The sequence below is a fragment of the Homo sapiens genome, chromosome 5, assembly GCF_000001405.40.
Source record: "Homo sapiens chromosome 5, GRCh38.p14 Primary Assembly".
Classification (NCBI taxonomy): Eukaryota; Metazoa; Chordata; class Mammalia; order Primates; family Hominidae; genus Homo; species Homo sapiens.
The window spans coordinates 119,339,678-119,356,012 of NC_000005.10; the positions used below are offsets into that span (position 1 = coordinate 119,339,678).

The 16,335-nt window shown below is 41.5% G+C and overlaps 1 protein-coding gene and 1 long non-coding RNA gene across 8 annotated transcripts in view, besides 6 other annotated features; one reads left to right on the forward strand and one right to left on the reverse strand.

Annotated features, from left to right (window-relative positions):
* Positions 1-16,335, forward strand: part of TNFAIP8 (TNF alpha induced protein 8) — a 130,930-nt gene that overhangs the window by 70,919 nt on the left and 43,676 nt on the right. The window contains exon 1 of one of the 6 annotated variants that reach the window (NM_001286813.2): positions 15,096-15,715. The exons of the other annotated variants lie outside the window; for them this stretch is intronic. The gene's annotated coding sequence lies outside the window, so the exon portion shown is untranslated. Of the gene's footprint in view, positions 1-15,095; positions 15,716-16,335 lie in introns of those variants that run through there. 6 annotated transcript variants of the gene reach the window in all.
* Positions 109-16,096, reverse strand: LOC102723444 (uncharacterized). Of its 2 annotated transcripts, XR_007058912.1 has the most exons (5): positions 16,021-16,096; positions 14,578-14,689; positions 10,705-10,788; positions 9,290-9,447; positions 109-6,767 (listed from the first exon to the last, which is right to left on the reverse strand). It is a non-coding gene; the product is annotated as an uncharacterized LOC102723444 (long non-coding RNA). The 2 variants fall into 2 exon arrangements; XR_001742858.2 differs by lacking the exon at positions 10,705-10,788.
* Positions 528-667: an enhancer, noted in NCBI's record as "active region_22974". NCBI's record gives its function as "activates an Ori minimal core promoter by ATAC-STARR-seq in GM12878 lymphoblastoid cells {active_cell/tissue: GM12878}" and the evidence as "EXISTENCE:reporter gene assay evidence [ECO:0000049][PMID:35858748]".
* Positions 818-947: an enhancer, noted in NCBI's record as "active region_22975". NCBI's record gives its function as "activates an Ori minimal core promoter by ATAC-STARR-seq in GM12878 lymphoblastoid cells {active_cell/tissue: GM12878}" and the evidence as "EXISTENCE:reporter gene assay evidence [ECO:0000049][PMID:35858748]".
* Positions 1,208-1,337: an enhancer, noted in NCBI's record as "active region_22976". NCBI's record gives its function as "activates an Ori minimal core promoter by ATAC-STARR-seq in GM12878 lymphoblastoid cells {active_cell/tissue: GM12878}" and the evidence as "EXISTENCE:reporter gene assay evidence [ECO:0000049][PMID:35858748]".
* Positions 1,398-1,447: an enhancer, noted in NCBI's record as "active region_22977". NCBI's record gives its function as "activates an Ori minimal core promoter by ATAC-STARR-seq in GM12878 lymphoblastoid cells {active_cell/tissue: GM12878}" and the evidence as "EXISTENCE:reporter gene assay evidence [ECO:0000049][PMID:35858748]".
* Positions 15,299-15,438: an enhancer, noted in NCBI's record as "active region_22978". NCBI's record gives its function as "activates an Ori minimal core promoter by ATAC-STARR-seq in GM12878 lymphoblastoid cells {active_cell/tissue: GM12878}" and the evidence as "EXISTENCE:reporter gene assay evidence [ECO:0000049][PMID:35858748]".
* Positions 16,089-16,248: a silencer, noted in NCBI's record as "silent region_16265". NCBI's record gives its function as "represses an Ori minimal core promoter by ATAC-STARR-seq in GM12878 lymphoblastoid cells {active_cell/tissue: GM12878}" and the evidence as "EXISTENCE:reporter gene assay evidence [ECO:0000049][PMID:35858748]".

The window sequence follows — 16,335 nt, forward strand, 5'->3', positions numbered from 1 at the left end:
GTTTGGTAAGTTGAACAATGAGAATAAGAAGTAGAGCAAATTAATTATAGACAGCTCTTCAATCTATGGTAATTACATGCTCCGATAAAACACTGAAGTCCAATATAATTTGTATTTAAAAACTGTTTAATAAGGCCATATGTTTCTGCAAAGAATGGCCTTACATTTCATAACTATGACCTTAATCACCATATTTGATTAATTATTTTATCTATTTTAATGGAAATAAATGGGCTGTGGATAATGTAAAGCTTTGGAAGCTGCACACAAATAAATGAAATGGGGCAATCAGTCATAGAGAGTTTCATTTAGTTTTCTCTAGATGAGTGCTCCAGGAGGATGGCTGTCTAGAGCAGGGGAAGGGTCTGGGGCAACATTCAGAAGGCTGGTGAAAATGAAAGTCACAGTGACACAAGAAAACACCATCTTGTGGTAAGTCAGTTGGAGCAGAAGAGGTAGCCATTTATCTTTTAGATGAAATCTGTGGCTGGAGTATCGGATTCCAAACTCCACAGCGTTGTCCCTAGCCAGCCAATCTTCCCCACCACATGAAATGTGTGGAAATATACGCACAGGGGGCCAGCCAGAGCAGAGGAACCCTTTATTACCAGGGGGGCTTTCACCCAGACCCTAACAAGGAACTTGAGTGAGCTAGACTGCCCATGTGGGTCACAGAAATTCGATTCAGGAACATTGGGCTAGGCTGCAGAGGACCACTGTGCCCAAAGGCATGCCCTGCTCCCGGGAGGCTGGTTGCAGAAAGGAGCTCTGAGCTCCTGAGGCCACCATGGAGGTCCTGGAGATTTAATTCTATTAATAGTTCCTCTTAAGATACTCACCATATCAACTTGCTGGGCCTGTTTTCTCATTTGTGAACAAGTTTGAGGAATGGGGAGATTGAATAAGACAACCTCGAAACCTTCCTTTGAGCATTAGCTTTCCGATTCTTGGGTTCTGGGCAGGGTGTGGCAGGAAGTGTCATGGAGAGCTGAGGTGGGGGTAGGGGTGGGGACTTTGGTCCTCCATATCCGGACATATGAACAGACAGGTGATGGCACAGTTTCTGTGGTATGTGCTGCAGATGTCTTAAATAGCCACCAAGTGGCTGGACTGGCTGAGTGGCGGTTTGAATTGCACCAAGTTGAGTATTTTTAGTTGGATACCACAGATAGTGCATTTATGGCCTTAGTTCACCGAATAGAGGGGTCGTTTCCTTTGCCGAACCAGAATTGGATGTTGGCTGCCAGGCTTGTGTTCTGGGACATCCAGATGTCGGGGTATTGTGGGAGCGGTGCACATGAAGGAAGCTCAGTGACTCCTGGCAGGTACTTCTGTTATAAAGCGGTTTCAAAGCCGTAGACACCTTTTATTCAGGGCTGGTAAGCTTCACTGGTGTTTTTGGTCTCCTGCTTTTTTTTTTTTTTTTTTAAATCTGATTACAATGGTGTTGCACACTGTTGTGGTTTATCGTTTTTTAGTGATCCTGTTGCTCAATAACCCTCCAGTGCTCTGCTCTGAAACAGCACCAGAACTCCACCTAAGCGAGAGATTGCTTATTTGTTTTTAATGTTAGTCTATATAAGTCAATGGTCCCAAACTCAAATGTCCACAGGAACCAGGCAAGTAATATGAATGTGTAAATAGTGCTCTATGTGAACAATCTCAAGTCGTGAGACCTGTGGTAAATTTAGAAACAACAGGTCTCATCTAAAGGCATTGAAGTTCAGTTAAAAAACTTAAAACAAACAAAGAAACAAAAAACTACATGAGGTGGGTTCGGTCCCAAGGCTACCAGCTTACGATCCTTGGGCTATAAGCCATCTGACTTCAACTATCACTGCTGTGTTTGCTCAGTCTCAGAGGTACCGTATTTATGGATGTGAGCCTTTTATAGTTTCATTTATATACTTGATTTCAGCTTTTGCCTTAGATGAGAAGACTGGCTAACTCTGGGATAAGAGTGCCACCAAAATTTTCACCCACAGATTGGAAGCACATCAAAAGAAATCATATCTTCACGGAAGTCATTTTTTTTTGGTTCCTGGCCTTTAGGGGCTGAATCTGTTTAGAGAAGTAGAGATGGAAATCTCAATCAAAACAGTTCTGAGTATTTTACATCATTTAAAAAAATTTGCATCACTGAAGAGAAGGAACCCTAATCATTTGAAACTCTCACTTCTGCTTTGCAAGTTGTCTGCTGGCTATATTCAGTCCTCTTTGTCTTCTTGGTCTTAGGCAGGCATGGGGTTAGTGGCCAGGGCAGAACTGGGAATGGGACAAGTTTGTGTTCATTCTTCTCCCTACCCTTGTAACAGCCTTAATTTCTGTATCTCTGTTTCCTATCTGGGGTGCCCTCTAGTCCTCATCTCTGAAGGGAAGGAACAAAGAGATGAGTGAATTCTTTACTCTTAGCTGTTAGTCATCCACCGGCTTTTCCTCCAAGGGATGTTTAGTGTTTTTAAAAGAACCTGATGGTAGAACAGAAAATCAGAGTTTAACCCAAGGTATCACCCTTCTAATGATAGTATTTCCTGTACTGCTAAGAGCATAATCTGGGGCTTGGTAGCCTCTCAGAGATAGCACCTTGTGTTGTCCCCTTTAGGTTAGAGCTGCGGAACCAGCACCAGCCACTGAACATGAAGAAGGTTTTGACTTTATCTTTTTAAATTTGCATTATTCAGACCCATGTCAGAGTCCACGAAAATTCTTGCAAATGTGTTTTTGTAAGAGCTGGGTGTCACCCTGCTTCCCCGTATTTGGTGTTGGCCAATGGGAGAGTTATGGGAATGTCATATTCCTTCCTCAAAGCCACTTAAAGCTGTGCTAAATTTGCAGGGTTTTTTTTTGATAATGCTTTCTCCTCAGGGTACTCTCTCAACTTACTCCCTTCAGGAAAATTTCTTGAATGAATAGTCCACCAGTGCTGTCTCTGCTTTCTCAACACCAGATCATTCTGCAACCTCTTGCAATTTGGCTGCTATCTCTAGTCATGTTACTAAGTTATCTTTCTCAAAGAATCTCCATTGGTCACCCAACCATCATAGCCATTGGTCTTCAGCCTTCACTTCTGACTGGTTATTCTCTACCTGGGGGCATTTTTCTTTCTTTTCTCCCTCTCTTCCTCTTCTTTGGCTGGCGTTACTTTTTTCAGTCTCTGAAGGGAAGCTCACTCCTAGGAGACTTGCTTAATAGAATGTTTATCGCCTGCATGTCTTTAGCAAAGAGGTGTCTGGAATTCCCATCTGGGATTTATTAGTCTAAATATTCAGGTGGTCCAGTGCCGGATGTTAGTTCTTAACTTAAAGGAAACAAAGTTTCCAATCCGAGGATGGTGAGATTGCTGCTGTTCTACAGTGGGCAGCCGCTGCTGGTGTCTTGCTTGCCCTGGAAATGCCATCAACTGAAATGGAATTTTGTTCAATCCATCTTATTAATAGTTCCTAAAGCAATTGTGGTGGGGTTGATAGGTGGCTAGTAAGGTTGCCTCTGTAAAGATAAGCACAATCCATTAATTAAGTCTGGAGTCCACTGGACTTCTACCGGGGATGTTTGCATTTGCTCGGCACTCTGTTTATAAGGATGTCGAAGGAAGTGCGTCCATTCTGTGCATGTTGTAAAACAGAAGGTTTGCAGCTGTCAGATTTATTTTTTTCTTGGCTCCTTTTCTGACAGAACTTTTGTAAACTTGATAGTTTTATAGATTGTCGAAAATTACTAACCTCGGTTCTGCAGATGCCATGCAGATTTTCTTGTCTTGTTTTCTTTCTTTGAAGATAGCAGATATTTATGTACATAGTTTCTTGTAAGGTACTTTTTGGGGAAGAGGAGATTAAGATTATTCTTATATGCTATCATAATTCAGTATTATGAAATTATTAAATGATTATTTTATTAGTTATATAGTGCTTTGAAAGTGTCCAGCATGCATTGTATGCTCTAGAAAGGAGAACAAACAAATGCAAGGTATAATCTTGTGTTTTAAATAGCTTATGGAGCTGCCTCAAAGACAACTAACATCAAGATTATCAACTTTAAGTATAGCACAAGTTCACTGTAGAAGTATAGGTCCACTGTGGGCTTCAGTAGGCTTTTAAGAGGAGTTGGGACCTGAGTATGGCTTTGGGTAGGGTAAAAAGCGGATATAACAGCTGAAAAAATAGACCAGCAGCAGCTGCCCCCGCTGTGTGACCACACAGGGTGTCATGATTCATCATAAGGTTTGTCTCAAGTAATTTCCAGTTAATGAAAACAAGTGTCAAAAATTTCTGAATGATTCCTTTTCAAACCACTCATATCTATGTGTGTGTGGGCGCACATTCATGATTTTGCCTCAAGTAGCATCATTCACACTCACTTGCATTGCCATTGCTTTCTTTGAGAGTGAGAAGTTGGTACTTCAGCTGGTGTATTAGTCTGTTTTGCATTGCCAAAAAGAAGAACCTGAGTAATTTATAAAGAAAAGAGGTTTATTTGGCTCCTGATTCTGCAGGCTATGCAAGCATGGCACCAGCATCTGCTCAGTTTCTGTTGAGGCTTCAGGAAGTTTTTCCTCATGGCAGAGGTGAAGAAGGAGCAGATGTGTCACACAGAGAGGGAGCAAGAGAGAGGGGAGGAGGTACCAGGCTCTTTTAAAGAACCAGCTCTCGCATGAACTCATAGAGCAAGGACTCACTCGTTACCATGGGGAGGGCACCAAGCCATTCATTAAGGATCCACCTCCATGACCCAAACACCTCCTATCAGGCCCCACCTCCATCACATTTCAACATGAGGCTTGGAAGGGACAAACATCCACACTGTAATAGCTGGCATCCTGGGAATGGGGCCTCACCCACAGCCTGTCCTATTGGTGTTGCCTTCATGGGTGCAAGGACTGAGGCAGCCAATTCTTGTGTGGCAGGTATGAATTAACATATTTCTAGCCTCAGTGAGCATTTGAATTTTCAACCCACTGTCTTGTTTAAGGGAAACTAGCTTAAAATCTGTTAGGCAACGCTAACTAGAGATGATGGCTTTACTGACTGCTGCAGGAATGGAGAGAAAAAAAGGCCAATCCAGGAAACATTTTGATGTGAGATTAGAAATAAGGGGAGACAGAGCAGCATAAGTCAAAGATAATTGTAAGGTTTGTAGCCCCCAGTGCCTAAGTGAGAAAAATTTATAAAGAAATATAATATTAAGTACGGTTAATATTAAGGCTCCATCTGTGCCTTCAGGGATACCCCTAGATAGGGCGAGCCTAAGGAACCATTCAAGCAGACAGGTCCTAATGGCAGCTGGAAACATGTAGGCTAGAGCAGAGCCTTCCAAATGTTCTTGGCTCATGCACCCTTAGTGGTCTCAGTAATTTTTTTCATGCCATTTCTAGGACAAAAGAAATACTTAGCAGTTTCATTTGTTAAGTACTTAGTTCCAAACAACTTAGTATTTCTGTATTGATAACTTTGTAGTTGTACAAAATAATACATATATATTGAAATATTTAAAAATAATGTTTTTACGTTACTCTTCATTTCTTAATGGAATGTATGTACCTGTTGGGCATTGCATATATTGGTCAGGGTCTAATGAGAATATAAAGTACACAGTAATTTAAAGGAAAGTTTAAAATAAACAAGTATTAGCTAGGAAAACAATATGACAGTTCCTTTAAAAATGAAAAATAGAATTACCATATGATTTAGCAATTTTACTTCTGGGTATATACTCAAAAGAATTGAAAAGGCATCTCAAAGAGATATTTGTAAACCAAAACCCAAAAGGTGGTAGCAATCCAGGTATCCATCTACAGAAGGATGTATAAACAAAATGTGATATACACATACAATGGAATATCACCCAGCCTTAAAAAGGAAGAAAGGAAGGAAAGTCTGACCTGCTACCATGTGGATGAATCTTGAGGATGTTAAGTGAGATAAGCCATCACAAAAAGACAAATACTCTTTAATTCCACTGAATGTAAGTTACCTGGAGTAGTCAAATTTATAGAGACAAAAAGTAGAATGGTGGTTGCCAGGGGCTGACAGGAGCAGAGAATGGCGAATTAGTCTTCAGTGGGTACAGAGTTTCAGTTTTGCAAGATGAAAAAAGTTCTAGAGATGGATAGTGGTGATGATTGTACAACAATGTGAATGTACTTAATTCTCCTGAACTGTATATTTAAAATTATTAAGATGGTAAATTTTATACTATATGTATTTTGCCACAATTTTTAAAAAATACAAAAGAAAACTGTTAAGAAAAAGAGAAGTAGTTCACTATAATGGGGACTAGCTAACAGGAAGTAAAGAGAACTTTAAATAACAGAGGAATAGCAGATATAAGGAGCAGCCCCTACCCGTGGGCCGTGGGTCTGATAGAGCACCCAAACACATGCTTCTCTCTGCTCCAGACCTTGCTGGAGAGGTCATGGCCTGCTGTGGCTCCTGGGCTGGCAGAGAAGTCACTGGGGTGCTATGCTGGCAGAACTTGCTAGAAATCTACCCTCTAAGATGCTAAGGAAAGCTATTCATGTGGAGGTCTTTCACTGGATGCATTCTGCTGCAAAATCAACCGAGAGGGATGCCAGTGGAAGCTGCTGGAGGCTGGGAGGTGCTGACCATCATGTTCAGCAGGAGCCAGTTGCTGAAGAAGGTGTGGATACTCTAGGAGCCATGCGTGTTTGCAGCAGCCTGCAGAAAGAGTGTACCGGAACCAGGAAGGAAAACTGCTTCTTTCTGTAATGTCTCTACAGTACTCTCCACTGATGAAGCTTAGAATGGTACCAGCTAACAAAAGAAAAAATATGTAAAGGTCCCTTCTGTGTCTTCACATAGTGAGTAATGAAGGGTGAATTTCGAGCTGTGAGGCAGTAAACTTATTGCAGTTCCTCAAACTTAGAAATTGGGTTGAATCCCAATACCCTAATTTCCTGTTCCACATCACATTTCAACTAATACTTGCCTTTTATCACAGCAACCACCAACAACCTAGCTTTGCAAAGAAATGACATCATCAAAAGGAAAATAACACAATATGTTAAACTGTGAATTCGCTTGAAATAGTCATTCATGCAAGCATCTGAGAAATGTTGTGTATTGCTTTGTTTCCCTCAAAGACAAAATATCCTGCACACCTCTGTGAATTTGCTGTAGTGCCCTGAGGTACACTGGCACATAATTTGGGGACCTCAGAACTAAAATCATGTCTTTTTCAGCAACTCTTGACCGCATCACTGTAACATATGAGATTGTAAGATGCCAATTTGGTTAAGACTACGAGTAATGTGTAAAGTGAAAATTGTATGGGGTCAGTATTATTTTAAAAATCCTCTTAGGAAGTTACCAGGTTGGAGGCTGATATACCATCTCCTATTAAGTATAAGACTTACTGCCACTGTTTCCTTAGCATTGAAACAGGTTGCTATTTCTTTAAGACCAGATACTAGAGTTAGCTTGTCTTTGAGGCATTTTGCTAAGAAACAATACCTTGCCTTAAACACAACATTCATTATCAGTGTGTGAGATGCTCACAGTGTAAAAGTCCATGCAGAGACTAGAGGGAGAAGAGGGAACAGCAAATTCCCAGCTCCTTCTCATGCTTACTCTGCAGCATAAAATCATTAGGGGGAATGGTAGCCAATGTACCCATTTAGATCATTTCTTTCTATCTGATATGGGCTGATTATATATCACTGAAATTGAGAAAATTAAATGGCATATGATGGGGCTTTGCTAAGTTCAGTAGTAAAATGTCTGTTGAAACAGACTTCAGATTGAAAAGGTTGGTGAATTTTAGATCTCCTGTTTGTACTAGGAAATTTATGGACTTAATATCATCTTTTTTAGGTAGGCTAGCACATTGTTCAGGTGAGCAGTTTCTCAGAAAATGCATTCATTTTCATGATGCCTACAACTTTGTGAATCATAACTAGTATATATTTCTGCAGCTCTTCTTTAAGGAGAGGCTGAGTAACTTAAATTTTGTAACCTGACCTATTCAAGAGGAAAAACTTCTGATGCATGCCTTTCACTGCTACCTGCAAAAATAACCTCCCATTTTTCCTGAAGCCCTGTTTGGGTAAGTTCTGCTTCAGTTCACATTTTCACCACCTGCTGAGTTTTTCTGTTGAGTGTCAGCCTTGGCTACTCGCAACTGCAAGCCTATGTCAGCCTTTTCTGTCTCCTAAGCAGTCATCAGTTGGCACAATTGTTAATAGATTCTACCCATGTCAGAAACTCAATGCCAAAATCAAATTATGGCAACTAGAAGTGGGTTAGACTTTCAAATAGATCTCAGACCAGGAGTCTGTGGTCCAGATTCCACAAATGGAGTACTACATTTGTCTTCTTTGTGCATTTCACATTTCAAATTTTGTTCAGAAACTTGAATAAAGCTCTTAACTGCTCAAATACAGTCAAGTAGGGCCCCTTACTCAACCTGTCTTGGCATTGTTTTCTGCCCCCTTGGAGTGAGCACACTGAGGAGAAAGATTATCACTGGGTGTCTTGAGCAGAGCTGCTTGCTTCTGAATGCTCACGATAATCAATAGCAGATGTGTGGTAAGCACTGGAAAGTTGCATAACTGTCTCACACTGAATTCAGCTACATCAGCCAGGCAATGTGAGGGGTCTCCACTAGGTTGTTGAAAATAAAATTTAGTTTAAAACCTATGTTTATCTCATCACAAAATTATTTCCTTGCCATAAGGAGTAAAGGCAGTGGTTAGAGTGGAAATAATTTGACAATTACTGCCCTTAGACTTGAATTTTAGTTTAGTATACACAGGAACTTTCTAACGGTTAGGATGGAAATGGAGTTGTTTTTTCAAGGAGGCTGTCTCTGGTAATAAAGTTTGTCAAGGCAATTCTGGATGAATGTCTGTTGCCGGTGATGTGATAGGAGATTGCTTCACCAGCCAGGTAGAGGATTAAACAATCTCTGGCTGGGCACGGAGTCTCACGCTTGTAATCCCAGCACTTTGGGAGGCTGAGGTGGGTGGATCACCTGAGGTCAGGAGTTCAAGACCAGCCTGGCCAACATGGTGAAACCTTGTCTCTACTAAAAATACAAAATTAGCCAGGCAGGGTGGCACATGCCTGTAATCTCAGCTACTCGGGAGATTGAGGCAGGAGAATTGCTTGAACCTGGGAGGCAGACGTTGCAGTGAGCTGAGATTGCACCACTGCACTCTAGACTAGGCAACCAAAGCAAAACTCCATCTCAAAAAAAAAAAAAAAAAAAAAAAAAAAGAATAGACAACATCTAAGGTTTCTTTCAAGCCTGAGTTCCACACTGTGATTTTTGATACCTTTTTCCTTCTGCTGCTTTTCTGAAGGAAGGCTGAGGATGCCTTGGTCAGATGTGATGTCGTGCTGTCCTGGCCACCTCAGCCCCACCTTTCCTCTTCTTCCTGGTGAATCCCTTCTGTGGCCCCTCTCATGCTGTTTCCATTTTGACCCCATTCACCTGAGCACAGGAAAGAAATTCAGCCCTTTTGTTTTCCTTTTCCATTGCTAGACCACACACATTAAATTGCCACACCTATCTGGAATATTTACAGAGCCAGCATTTAGGGCCTCCATATAGACACTCTTAAACAATCTGGGACAATCTGGCCTTAATCATGATTATATTTGGAAAAGTGAAGAGGGGAACCTCATGATTTTCAGTGTTCCATCATGTTCTTTACTCATTTCATCATTATAACAACCCTGTTAAATAAGTGACTTCATTCTTATTGTACAGATGTGCAAACAAAAGCACAGAGAGGTTAAATGACTTTGCCTATTTTTAGAGGAAAAATGAAGAAATAATGAATAGGAAGAAAACCCATCTTAATGCAAATGAGGCACAGCCAGTGCTTGCTCCGCTGATGCGGGTGTCAGTAATCAGGGCCAGGTCTCCCAAATTGAGTCTGGTGTTCTTTTCCTTGCTCCTGGCAGCCCATATCCGATGAGGCTTACTGAACTTTTAATTAAGGTCCTTACTGAACTTTTGATTTAAAAAAAAGATTCATAGTTTCAGGCAGCTGAATAAATAGAAGCTATTGAATTTATAGCATATTTAAAGCATTGAATATCAGGAATTGAATGGCTTCAGTTTAAAGCTGTGATCAAGTCATTTGAACAGAGAGATTTGACGATGGTTCAATGCTAGAACCATGGCCAGCCATAAACTCTATGGGGACCTCCCAATATTAGCAATCTTTGAGTTACTCCTCTGCAAAATAAGGGACTTGGATTTTATAGGAACAGTTTAATACAGTGAGAAAGTCTGGATATAGGAGACAGGAGGCTTAGATTGCATTCATTGTGGTCTAAAGAACATTATTACTTAGTTTTGTGACCTTGAGCAAATCATGTAACCTCCATTTCTTTAATTACATATCTGTAAAATGAGTATGATGACCCAAGGGGGCTAATTTGGGAGTCTAAATAAAACCTAATACAAGACATTACTGCTAAGTACATCCAGCCCTCCATATCTGTGCGTTCCATATTCATGGATTTGGCATCTGTGGATTCAATCAACAGCAGATCAATAATATTCTGAGGGAAAAAAAATTCCACTAAGTTCCAAAAAGCCAAACTTGAATGTGCCGCTACTATGTTGAATTTACGTGAATGAAGTGCTATGTAGCCATTGTATTAGGAATTATAAGCAATCTAGAGATAATTTAAAGCATATGGGATGATATATGTAAGTTATATGCAAATACTTCACCATTTTATATGAGACTTGAGCATCTTCGGATTTTGGTATCCTCAAGGGTCTTGGAACCAATCTCCCACAGATGCTGAGAAATGACTGTGTTATAAAAGAAGGACCGTGGGTCATAAATTGTTCAGATAATATTTTCTGACCTGATTTGGAGAGTATGCTTGTGTTTTATCATCTGCTAAAAGCTTTTTAACAAGGAAGATTTCTTAGAAGAGAAATACACCTAGAAAGCCTAGGAAACAAGCACATCCCAGATGTATTATTGTCTCTCTGTGTGTGCTCATCTCCGATGTCAGCAATTCTTCCCATTCTCTCAGAATTAGGCACTCACATCCAGAGCATTAGTGAATGTGTAGAATTTATGGGAGAAGTCACTGGGCAGACTGAGGAGAGGGATTACCCATAACTTCAAACTCCCAGGACTGGCCACCAGTGGCTTTCTCCTTCCCTCATCTCCACACTCATCCTCAGCATCTTCCTCTCACATGGTTCTGCCCCAGCCCACATCAGCCTCCCCAGTCTTATCCCAGTGCAGATGGTCCCTGACTTACAATTTTTTAACTCTATGTGTATTTGTGTGTGTGTGTGTGTGTGTGTGTGTAGAGAGAGGGGTCTCACTCTGTGTGTGTGTGTGTGTGTGTGTGTGTGTGTGTGTGTAGAGAGAGAGAGGGGTCTCACTCTGTTGCCCAGGCTGGAATTCAGTGTATGATCATAGCTCACTGTAGCCTTGAACTCCTGGGCAAGAGTGATCCTCCTGCCTCAGTCTCCCAAGTGGCTAGGACTACAGGCATGCACCACCATACTCGGTTAACCTTTTAAAAATTTTTTTGTAGAGTTAGGGTCTCTCTATGTTGTCCAAGCTGGTCTCAAACTTCTGGCCACAAACAATCCTTGCACCTCAGCCTCCCAAAGTGCTGGGATTAAATTCATGAGCCAGTGTGCCCAGCCTTACTCTATTTGTATTGTACTAAAAGTGATACACATTCAGTAGAAACTATACTTTGAACACCCATACAACCATTCTGCTTTTTTTGCTTTCAGTGCAGTGTTAAAAAGTTACCTGAGATAGTCAACATTTTATTATAAAATAGGCTTTGTACTAGATAATTTAGCCTAACTGTAGGCTAATGTAAGTGTTCCGAACACATTTTAGGTGGGCTAGGCTAAGCTATGGTGTTGAGTATGTTAGGTGTATTAAATATATTTTCAGCTTATGATGGTTTTATCCTGATGTAGCCCCATCGCTAAGTTGAGGAGCATCTGTACTCAGCACTTAAGGCTACTTGAGGCACAGAGCTTGATCTTCTGCAAAAGTGTATAAATGACTCCACTGTCATTTTAGCATTCCCTTTTTCAATTCTAGTATATACAATTTTCTTTTTTCTTTTTCTTTTCTTTCTTTTCTTTTTCTTTTTTTCTTTTTTTTTTTGAGATGGTGTCTCACTCTGTTGCCCAGGCTAGAGTGCAGTGGCACGATCTCAGCTTGCTGCAACCTCCACCTCCTGGGTTCAAGCGATTCTTCTGCCTCAGCCTCACAAGTAGCTGGGATTACAGGAGCCTGCCACTGTGCTCAGTTAATTTTTGTATTTTTAGTAGAGATGAGATTTCACTGTCTTGGCCAGGCTGGTCTCGAACTCCTGACCTTGTGATCCACCTGCCTCGGCCTCCCAAAGTGCTGGGATTACAGGGGTGAGCCACTGTGCCCGGCCATAAATACCATTTTCTTAAGGCTAAGAGAGCCAAATAACCTGGGCCAGGGAGAGGCCATGGAGAGATACCCACTTAGGCTTACTTGTGTTATGGAAGGGTAAATGTAAATGTGTCTGAGGATAATAGGAAGAACTCAAAGCCTACAGGCCTAACCAGGTGAGACCAAGACACAGATCTCTCCCGCATATGGGGAAACAGGAGTGACAGCCAACTTTTTATATAGATCACGGAAGCCTTCGAAGGCTTTCAAGGGTGTAGACAAAAATGATACAAGAGAAGTTGAAGAAGGTCTCAAAGTGAAATTGAAGGAAGCAGATTCAGCCTCAGCAGGTTAGAAAAAAAAATGACCATTTTTGGTGACCTGAAGTTTTTGCGAACTAGAGGCTATAGGTCCATAACTAGTTTACAGAGGTGCTTCATATTTTTCACTGCAGAGAACATATAACATTCTTGAATGTGAGTGGAATATTTGATACCTCCTAATTAAAAGGTACCTTGTCTTCCCAGTTCTGCCGGCTGGCCTTCTAATTTGTGTGAGTCTGAAAACTCACTGATCTCCCCTTTTCTTAACAGACATCTGGGGAGCTGTGAGCAAAAGGCCTAAAAGTCAGGCCTTTAAAAAAAACTCTTTGAACAGCTTTATTTAAGGCATAATTTGGAAAGAGATTTTTCTGCTGCCCTGTGATAAAGTTCAGTCGAGAGTTGGTGTTAATAAACCTTCCTTAGAACCAAGGTGACTTGGAAAGTTGAGTTCTTTAGGTCTGTGGTCAAATTAACAAAATTATGTCAATAAGCCCCAGGTGAGTAGGGTCAATTTACATATGACACACACAAATATTTGATTATACCTCAATGAATGAATAAACCTTCAGAATCTTAGCTACCATTTTCATTCTTCCATCTTGACACAAAAGGTGGGAGTTCCATTATTAGACACTTGCAGGAGTTCAACATAGTATTTAAATTTAAGTACAGTTTGTTATTAAATGAGAAGTGTTGCTAACTTAGTTGCAATTTTGTATCAGGCGGGCGGTAATAGTTTGTTGGTATGACTTCCATACATGTTGCCATGTGAAGGATGTTTGGGGTGTTTCTTAAACATACAAGAATCAACAAGTCCCACCTACAGGAGATAACAAATCATTATGATGTACTGGACCATTATTCACTGGGGCTAAGAAGTAAATTATCCCCTTTTGAATAAAAGCACAGCAAAATCAAAATGACCTAGTACATATCTGAGAGCAGCAGAAGGCCAAGGGGAGCCCTAGAGAATCAGCTGCCCTTTGTCACCATGTTGCAGGGTAGGGGTATGGGGCAATGCAGCCTGCCCAGAGCAGATGGCTTTGAGGTTATACGGGAGACTGAGGAATGTACTTATTCACATAAAGCCTTTTAAAATAAGCTGAGCATTCATTGCTCTTGAGCTAAAACAGAGCATTCTTCCCCAAGGTGACTGCTTGCTTGCATTTAAATACAAAAGAAGTTTCTCTCCAGGCTTCCTGAGGCCGATGGTGAATGTTCAAAGATCAACGAAGCTAACATGAATCTAAAATGAATTATAAGGCTGACGGAGCGCTTGAACTATTCATTCAGCAGTTGTAAAACAAGTAGCACATTAAAGGACATGTATTTTAACATATCTTATGTGGTTTGTCCCCAGTTGGACTTGCAAAATGACATTTAATAAATATTTCTTGTAAGGGTACTTTCTAAAAGAAGAGAGTGAAAGTAATTCTGCTGTAGGCAGATTGGGCCTGAAATTTGGGTTGTCTGGATTTGCATAATCATCACCTTGAAAAGGTGTTGCTTTACCCCAATTATAGATCAGTGGAAGCTCTCTTGTGTAGCACACGGCCCTGGTGAGATCCCTTAAGATCTCTTGTGGACTATCTGTGGACATCTGGGTTGCAGTGAGGAAGGGCAAGGATAGATGGTATAGGGAGAGAGGGGCAGAATGTTGACTTGGGCAGGACAGGAAAAGCCACTTGTGACTGGTGAGGGAGCATTTCTTTGGGTTCAGAATCATCCTCATCTCAGTGTATCTCCCCATAAGTCTGAGATTACTGAGTGCAAGGTATACATATCAGCAGCTCCTGACTCAGGATGTGTGGCAGAGGGGACCATGAAGTTAACTGTGACTTTCGGAAGGGTGCAGTCTGTTACCCTTTCGGTGGCGAGGTCAGTTTCCGGGAGGCTCTGCAACACTGATATTTTCCAGATGTTTCTCCTCTTCTCCCTTCTCTGGCTGGCTATATCTTCCTCCCTTCATCCTGCTCTTTCAGTGAAATTGAGATAACATGTTAGAATCTTAGGCAGGTTAGAATCTCTCAGCAGTAGGATGTGATTTAATATCTAGACCTCTTACATTAATATTTATAATAGCCTTCACTGCTTGTGAATAGCATAAGCACTCTTTTCTGTTCAAAGTCAATACTGAAATAAAACCCAAGAGTATGTTTTATAAAAATTTACTTTTAATGGTGCAATGGTAATAATCTATGTAGTCCTTATGGTTTTCAAATCCCTTTGTGCTTATATTACCTTATTTAATACAGACATAAATCTGTGAAGTAAATAATACTATTTTTATCTTCATTTTACAAATGAGGAACTGGAGGCTCAGAGAGGTTAATTTGCATAAGGTCATACAAATGATAGATGGCAGAACTGGATTTAAGTTCAGACTCCTTAAATCCATGTCTTTTGTACGTTCTTTTCACTAAATTTGCCATAGTGTTTCTATTGGTTTTTGCCTATATAAAATCGGAAACGAAGAAAAAGAAACGAACTGGAAAATAAATTTGTCAAAAGAGTATATTTTTTTCTCATAATTTCCAAGCGGATCTTTCAGATATGTTATTTGAGGACTTTTTGCCTCAGACTGGCGATAAAACAAGTGTTCTACAAAATACCTCCGTAAGACAGGCCTATCAGTGGCAGCTCTTGTCCCCGCTTTGCAGAAGGGAAAACCAAGGCTCCACAGAGCTAAGGGGACTTCCTCTCAGCCAATTTGTAGGGGCCTGTGGGCCAGACCCGGGGGCAGAATTGAGATCTGTTGTGAAGGCTGTCCGGCTTCTTTATTCTATCAGCATTTCAAATCCTGAAAACCTCCCCTTTGGCATTTTGAAGGAATTCATCCCCAGTTTTTGCTGGTAGCCGGGAGGGAACCGTGCTCTCCCCCTGAGGAAGGCCCTTTGGAGTAACTGCAGCAATGAGTGCCCGGGCTGTGCTTGGAGTACCAGTGCTCGCCCGGGGCTATACTGAATGAGTAAGCAGCCCCGTCTGCTTTTGCTGTGCAAAGGTAAGGGTGGAGGCCGCTCCACTTTCTTCAAAAGGCCCCGCTCTGGGACTTGTGAAATTGTGCTCTCTTAAGCTGGTCCTTGCAACCCCATGGACGATATCCATGCGACTTTCCTACAAAAATAACATACCAAAGCCGCTTTAAAATCCGTAATTTTTGGGTTGCAAGACTCCAAGACAAAGTCAAATGGGCATCAAAAAATGTAATCCAAAAATACAGAGGCATTGGTTCTACCCTATATGCATTTGCTATTTATGTAAAACTACAGTGTGCTCTGAGATGAGACTTTTTTTTTCTTTTTATACCTTTTTTTCCGCCCGTCTGGTGCGTTTGCCGACGGTTCTTCTCGGCCCTGTGTCTCGGGAGAGTCGGCTGCCGTCTGGGCCTGTGCCCCACCTGCGTGCGCCCGGGCCGAGCCAGCCCCGCCAGGTCGCCTCCGCCCGGCTGCCGGCCCGAGCGCGCGGCTCCGGGGGCGGACTCCCGCCGCCCAGCTGACACGCGATTCGTCACTCTTGCAGAACTTTCCCCCTGAAAATCCCTGCACCAGAACCCGCTCTCCCGCCCCGGGGAGGTTTTGATTTTAGTGGCTTTCTTCCTTTTATTTTCCGTCGTGTGCGGAT